Raw genomic sequence first — 7,104 nt, 5'->3', positions numbered from 1 at the left:
AATATCATGCTGTTTTAATTACCATAGCTTTGTAGTACATTTCAAATTCAGGTAGTGTGATATCTCCAGCTTTGTTCTTTTAACTCAAGAAAGCTTTGGTTACTCAGTGTCTTTTGTAGTTTCATACAAATTAATTATGACTTCCTTTTCTAATTCTTTTGAAAATGTCATTGGAAGATAGGAATTGCATTGAATCAATGATTCAGTTTGGGTATTATGAACATTTTAACAATATTACTTTTTCTGATCTATAAACATGAAAGATCTTTCCTTTTCCTTGTGTTTTAAAAACCTCTCATAATATTATTGAAATAAAACTGTAATTTCAATTTGGAAAGTGCCAATATTAAAGATCACTAACATTACAAATATTTATCTAGCACCTGTTGTCATTTTCACATTATATCAGGGCCTGCAGTAAATAATAGTATACAAATATTCCACTTTCAAGGACATTACAATTATTCTTTCATAGTGCACATACTTAAATGTTGTCATGAGATTGTCAGATTCTGACACTATTACTTCCAAACAATTGTGTAAAATTGGTGCCCTCTTATTTACTCATTTTATTTGATAAAAACAAACCTGTTTATTAAACTCTGAAGAGTAGCAAAGATTAAAAGCTCCTAAGTCAAAATATACACAAAAATAAACCAATGCAAAATAATCAATATGTAACCAAGAAGAGCTCTTTCAGTAAATTAAGACTGAAACAGACACCAATAGATATGTCCCAGACAAAAAGGAACTGCTCTACATTTAAATATACATGAGGAAATCTTAAACACACACACAAAGAATATTAGATGTCTTTATAACAATAATTACTCAGTCTTTATTATACTAACATACATCAAGGACCTCAAAATTAAGTAATAATTTTGTCATATGAAAATATTTTAGAAACATAGCCCTATGTTCCTTTTTATACCTGATCTTCTAAGTTACACAGTGAAGAGGATGTGGTTATGCAGTTGGTTTGTGGGTGTATGTGTTACATCTTTTGTTTTTAATTTTTGTTTTGTTTTCCTGTAGAGTTGTACATGGCTGTAGAGTTGTGTATGGCTATCCTTTTAAATTCATGTTGTTCATAACAGTATATTAACATCATTTGGAAAGTTTATTTTGTTACTTGTATTAATCCTGTCTTAACATCAAATTATTCATACAGTTTAATCGATATGCTTCTCTTAATGTCACTGAAGGTAAATGTCTAATATATTAGTGCCATAAATCAAGCTTTTAGTGTGTCACTGGAAGTATCTCTTTCAGTTTGACAGTAACGAATTAATGGGAAGCGTTTCTTAAGTTCGCCTAAGCAGTCATTACCTCATTTTTTGGTATTATTCTGGCTTGTTTTCCATAGTAGAAGTTTTCTCATGCTACAAGTCAAGTATTAGAACTGTGGCCTTGCCATAATAAAATCCTAAAAAATGTGTGCAAAGGTTTTCTACCATTTGAGTCTGGGGATACAGAACATTCACACAAGTCAGGCAAAGCAGACAGGCAGCAAGGATAAATAGAAGTGTAGGATTCATGGAGAACCGGTCTTTTAAGAATCAAGACACAGGAAGGGGAACGTCACACACAGGGGACTGTTGTGGGGTGTGGGGAGGGGGGAGGGATAGCATTAAGAGATATACCTAATGCTAAATGACGAGTTAATGGGTGCAGCACACCAACATGGCACATGTATACATATGTAACAAACCTGCACGTTGTGCACATGTACCCTAAAACTTAAAGTATAATAATAATAATTAAAAAAAAAAAAAAGAATCAGGAAAGCTGCCCAGGGCAGGTGGAGTGCTGTCTGTGCATGCACCACATTGCACAGCAGCTGAGAGACACCAAAAGCATTCCATATTGGATTTTATATACCAGGCACAACAAGGATCACTGAGTTAAAGTATTGCAGGACAATTTGTTTTGGTAGACATGAGGACACAGCGCAGGCTGTTCTAGACATTTCTTCCTTATCTCAGGATATTGCATTTGCAGATATTCTGAGAGCTACAAGCAGAGAGGAAAGAACTGACAAGGCCAAGATCATCTGGGGACCTCTCCTATTTCAAAGTAAAACTAGCTTTAAGACCAAGTGGCATGTAGAGCTTGAAAAATGATATATTTTTAGCAAAGACTGCAGAATTAATGAATATAGTATAACTGGAGTCTGGAAAAATGACATCTGTATTAGTGGAACAATTGTCAAAACTACCACCTAAATTAATTTAGAAGATATAAAGTGCACTAAAAGATCTTTGGACTTAGCTAAAGACAGATCTAGGCATATTTTTGAATGTGTCACCTGAGTACCTAGCTGTCACTGTTAAGTCACTGAAAAAGGTGAGTTATAGAAAGAATTAATGTTTTAAAAAAGAATTTACAGAAAATATATAGGACCAGTTGTGTTATATTGGAAAATAAACTTTGTTTAGCATGTAGGATTCACAGATAATTACAGATTTTGAAGTGAAACAAGCCCTATGGACAAAGATAAAACCAAGAGCTGAATGGTATGTTTCTTCTAAATAAATGCATTGGCATCTACCTGTCTAGAATTAAAATGTTATGTAAATTTTGGTAATGAAGTTTACTCAACCTCAAAAAACATCCAAAATTGTTAGAAAAGTATGCGGCTGAAAACACTGGTAACTTAGATTAAAAGTGACTGAGACAGCTCAAATTACAAGAAAGGCTTCTGGCATTTTAACTTTATGTGAACATAAAGCAGGCTACTCACACACAAACATACAGAATCATCTACCAACTCATCAATAGTTATCACCATACAAACACAGATCATTACTTTGAGAAAATAACACAATATTTCAGGGTGTCGAGCTGAGGATCATGGAGAGAAGCATGAAGAACAATGCATTAAGGAGCCACTCCCAGAAAACTTTACAGACCAGTGGATTATGAAGTTGTTCCCAAGAAGCATTAAAAAGCAATAGCCTGGAGAGCTTTTCCCAGGGAACAGAACTGAGTTCTAATGAACAAACATTCTGGTCTGGTCTTGGAGAAGCTGGCAACATTTTCCCGTTGGAATTTCAGTCATTGCTGTAGACCAGTGGCTGTTGTACGTGTGCATATACACACATACACAACGTGTATACACATATACACATATACACGCACAACAGATATATACACACACACTATATATATGTGTATACGCACATACATTGTGTATATACATATAATGTGTGTACATACATATCGTGTGTATATATATACACACACATACACATTATATGTATATAATGTTATATGAGAGTATCTCCTGCATATCCTCTCCTTGTCTCTCCAGTGTACTTTGCATATGTAGAGGAAGGCTGGCTTGTTAATCTTTGTTCATAGGCACCTTAATCAAGAGGGACCACTTATATATCTCTTATTGATGGTTGAGGTCCTGGTTGTCAAACATAACACCATTGATCAGAGGAGATTTGGAGATTTGGTGGTCTTGGGAGGAGGTGAAGAAGAGGGATGTAAATGATTAGATTTGGAGGACTGACAATGATAAATCTATTATTTTCCTGAAATAAATTGCTATAATTATTCCCTTCCTACAATTCATATCTATTTGCAATGCAACTTTACCATGTCTCCTGTCAATACTTACGACTAACTCTGAAAAATTAGATTGAGCAGAAATGACTTTGTGTCAGAACTATGTTTAGACCTCAGACACCCTTACAAGCTCCTGCTGGCTCTCTTGGAATCCTTCCCAGTCATTATGAGAAAAAGCCTGGAGGATGAAAGACTATATGTAGCAGAGACGAGCTAGCTCAGTTGAGACCATCTGATGCCAGCTATAGTAGGTCATTCTTGCATTGCTATAAAGAAATATCTGAGGCTGGATAATCTATACAGAAAAGAGGTATAATTGGCTCGCGGTTCTGCAGGCTGCATGAGAAACATAGCACTGACATCTGTTCACCTTTTGGGGGGCCACAGGGAGCAGAAATCTCAGGGAGATTTTGCCTATGGTGGATAGCAAAGCAAGAGCCACCAAGTCACATGATGAAAGTAAAAGCAAGTGGAGAAGGGAGGTGCTACACACAATTAAACAACCACATCTCACAAGAACTCACTCACTATCACAAGAACAGCCCCAAGCCATGAAGGATCCACCCCTATGATCCAACCATCTCTCACTAGGCCCTACCTCCAACATGAAGATTACAATTCAGCAGGAGATTTGGTGGGGATGTATTTTACAACTATATAATTCTGCTCTTGGTTCTTTAAGTCTCATGTTCTTCTCACATTGCAAAATACAATTATCCCTTCTCAGCAGTCCCTCAAAATCTTAACTCATTCCAGCATTAACTCTAATGTCTCAGGTCCAGGTACAAAGTTTCATCTGAAGATGAATTTCTTCCACTTAGGAGCCTGTAAAGTCAAACAAATTATTTACTCCAAAGAGACAATGGAGGTATAGGCATTGGGTAAATATTCCCATTCCAAAAGGGAGAAATCAACCAAAAAAAAGAAGCTACATGCTCATGCAATTCAAAAACCCAACAGAACAGTCATTAAATCTTAAAGCTCCAAAATAATCTCCTTTAACTCCATATTGTGCATCCAGGTCACACTGGGGTGAATGGTGGGCTCCTGAGGCCTGGGCAACTCCTCCCCTTCAAACTTTTATACTCTGTTCCCCTTTTAAGTATAAATTATAACTTTAAGCTCTTGCATCTGAGAATAGGCTATTAGAAGCAGCCAAGTCACCCCTTGAATGACTTGCTGCTTAGAAATTTCTTGTACCCTAAATCATAAGTCTCAAGTTTAAATTTCTGTAGATCCCTAGGATAGGGAAACAATGATGCTAAGCTATTTGCTAAGGCATAATGTGTATGACCTTTGTTCCAGTTTCCAATAAGTTTCTCATTTCCTTCTGAGACCTCGTTATCCTGGACTTCATTGCTGATATCACTATTAGCATTTTGGTCACAACCATTTAACCAGTCTCTAAGAAGTTCCAAACTCTCCCTCATCTTCCTGTTTTCTTCTGAGCTCTCCAAACTCTTCTAACCTCTGCCTGTTACTCAGTTCCAAGCTGCTCCACATTTTCAGGTATTTTATAGCAATAATCCACTCTTAATACCACTTTTCTGTATTAGGTCATTCTTGCATTGTTGTAAATAAAGATCTGAGGCTTGGAAATCTATAAATAAAAGAGGCTTACTTGGCTCACAGTTCTTTAGGATGCAAAGGAAACATGGTCTTGACGTCTGCCCAGCTAATGGGAGGCTGTGGGGATCAGGGACCTCAGGGAGTTTTTACTCATGGTGGAAGGCAAAGCATAAGCCAGCATGACACATAGCAAAAGCAAGAGCAAGTATGGGGAGAGGTGCCACACACATTTTTTTTTTTCAGATGGAGTCTCGCCCTGTCTCCCAGGCTGGAGTGCAGTGGTGTGATCCTGGCTCAGTGTAACCTCTACCTCCTGGGTTCAAGCAATTCTCCTGCCTCTGCCTCCCGAATAGCTTGGACTACCGGCGCATGCCACCACGCCCAGCTAATTTTTGTATTTTAAGTAGAGATGAGGTTTCATCATGTTGGTCAGGATGGTCTAGATCTCTAGACCTCATGATCCGCCCGCCTCAGCCTTCCAAAATGCTGGGATTACAGACGTGAGCCACCACGCCCGGCCAGTGCCACACACTTTTAAACAGCTAGATCTTGTGAGAAGTCACTCACTATTGTGAGGACAACACCAAGACATGAGGGGTGTGCTACTGTGATCCAGTCACCTTCCCCCAGGCCCCACCTTCAATACTGGGGATTACAATTCAACACAAGATTTGGCAGAAATATGTATTCAAACTATATCACCAGCCAATCCTCAGGTAACCCGAGAGTTGTCCACAGAGACATGAGGGGGACCAGTTGAAAACCCCCAACCTAGGACCACAGTTTTGAGCTAAATAAATTGGTATTGTTTATTTATGAGCTAAATAAATTGGTATTGTTTATAGTTTATTGAAACTAAATTTGGGGTAAGATAAAAGCAAATGTATGCAGTGAAATTAAATAATGGTTGTAATGAGATTGCCTAATGAAGTGATGTAGAAGACTGGTTCATTACATTAAGGCACTGAATTAATGATTTTCAAAGCAGCGTATTTTATGGTGATTAGATATTCCAGGTATAAACATACAAGCTTCTGAGTAAGGTGAAGTGTAGAGAATTTTAAATAGAGATCAATAGTTTAAGTAAATGAGAGGATTTGGTGGTGTTTCAGACATCTGCATCTGCATGGGAGGAATTTAAAGTATCTAGGAATGCTTTTAAAACACAGGTTGGAAAGAAAACTGAGGTCTTGGTGCTAATGTTTTGGAAAAATGAGGCAGAAAGGCCAAGATGTGGTGAGATGATTGCAATCAGGATGGTGAGAAGGACTCAGTACAGTGGAATGAACTTCAGAGGAGTAGGGTTTGTCTGACCACAAAGGAAGTGATTATCTAGGAGCCTAAGGAAGCTTGGAGTTAATGGTGAATGCCAGTAACCTTTTTCTCTACCCTCCATTATCCTCACTCAAAGAGGAAGAAAAATAAAGTAAGGAAGTCCCTGAGAGTAAAGTTGTTTAGAATGATTACCTTTAATAATGTCCAACTCTTTGAGAATCACACAGTTGATTTTGGAATCCGTACTTGCACACATTTTAGCCATTAAATGACTGTTGTCATTTAATGTTTTGGGTACCACATGTTTATATTTTCCTCTATGCACACCTGTGTCTCCACCTCTCTTTGCTGGAACTGCTAGTCTCCCGCGTAAATATGGGTACGGGGGAAAGCCAACCAAAGCCACACTGTCTCCCAGCCCTATATTTGAGATATGTGTGTGAATAAATGCCCCAGATAATGGTGACTACCAAAGCCAGACCAGTGAAAATCTTTCTCTAGAATGCTCCTTCATTAGAATAAGTATGTTTTCATTAATTAATTTAGAGGAAGGTATTCTTGAGTAGTACATAATAAGATAAATATACTAAAAGAAGCAACCCTAATAAAAAGGCAGTGTATTTGAGAAAGAGTATTCTCTTGTTTTATTGCTGGGGTTCGAATCTTTGGAAAGTGCTTTCC

This window comes from Homo sapiens, chromosome 5, assembly GCF_000001405.40.
Source record: "Homo sapiens chromosome 5, GRCh38.p14 Primary Assembly".
In the NCBI taxonomy this organism is placed as follows: Eukaryota; Metazoa; Chordata; class Mammalia; order Primates; family Hominidae; genus Homo; species Homo sapiens.
This window is presented reverse-complemented; position numbering follows the sequence as displayed.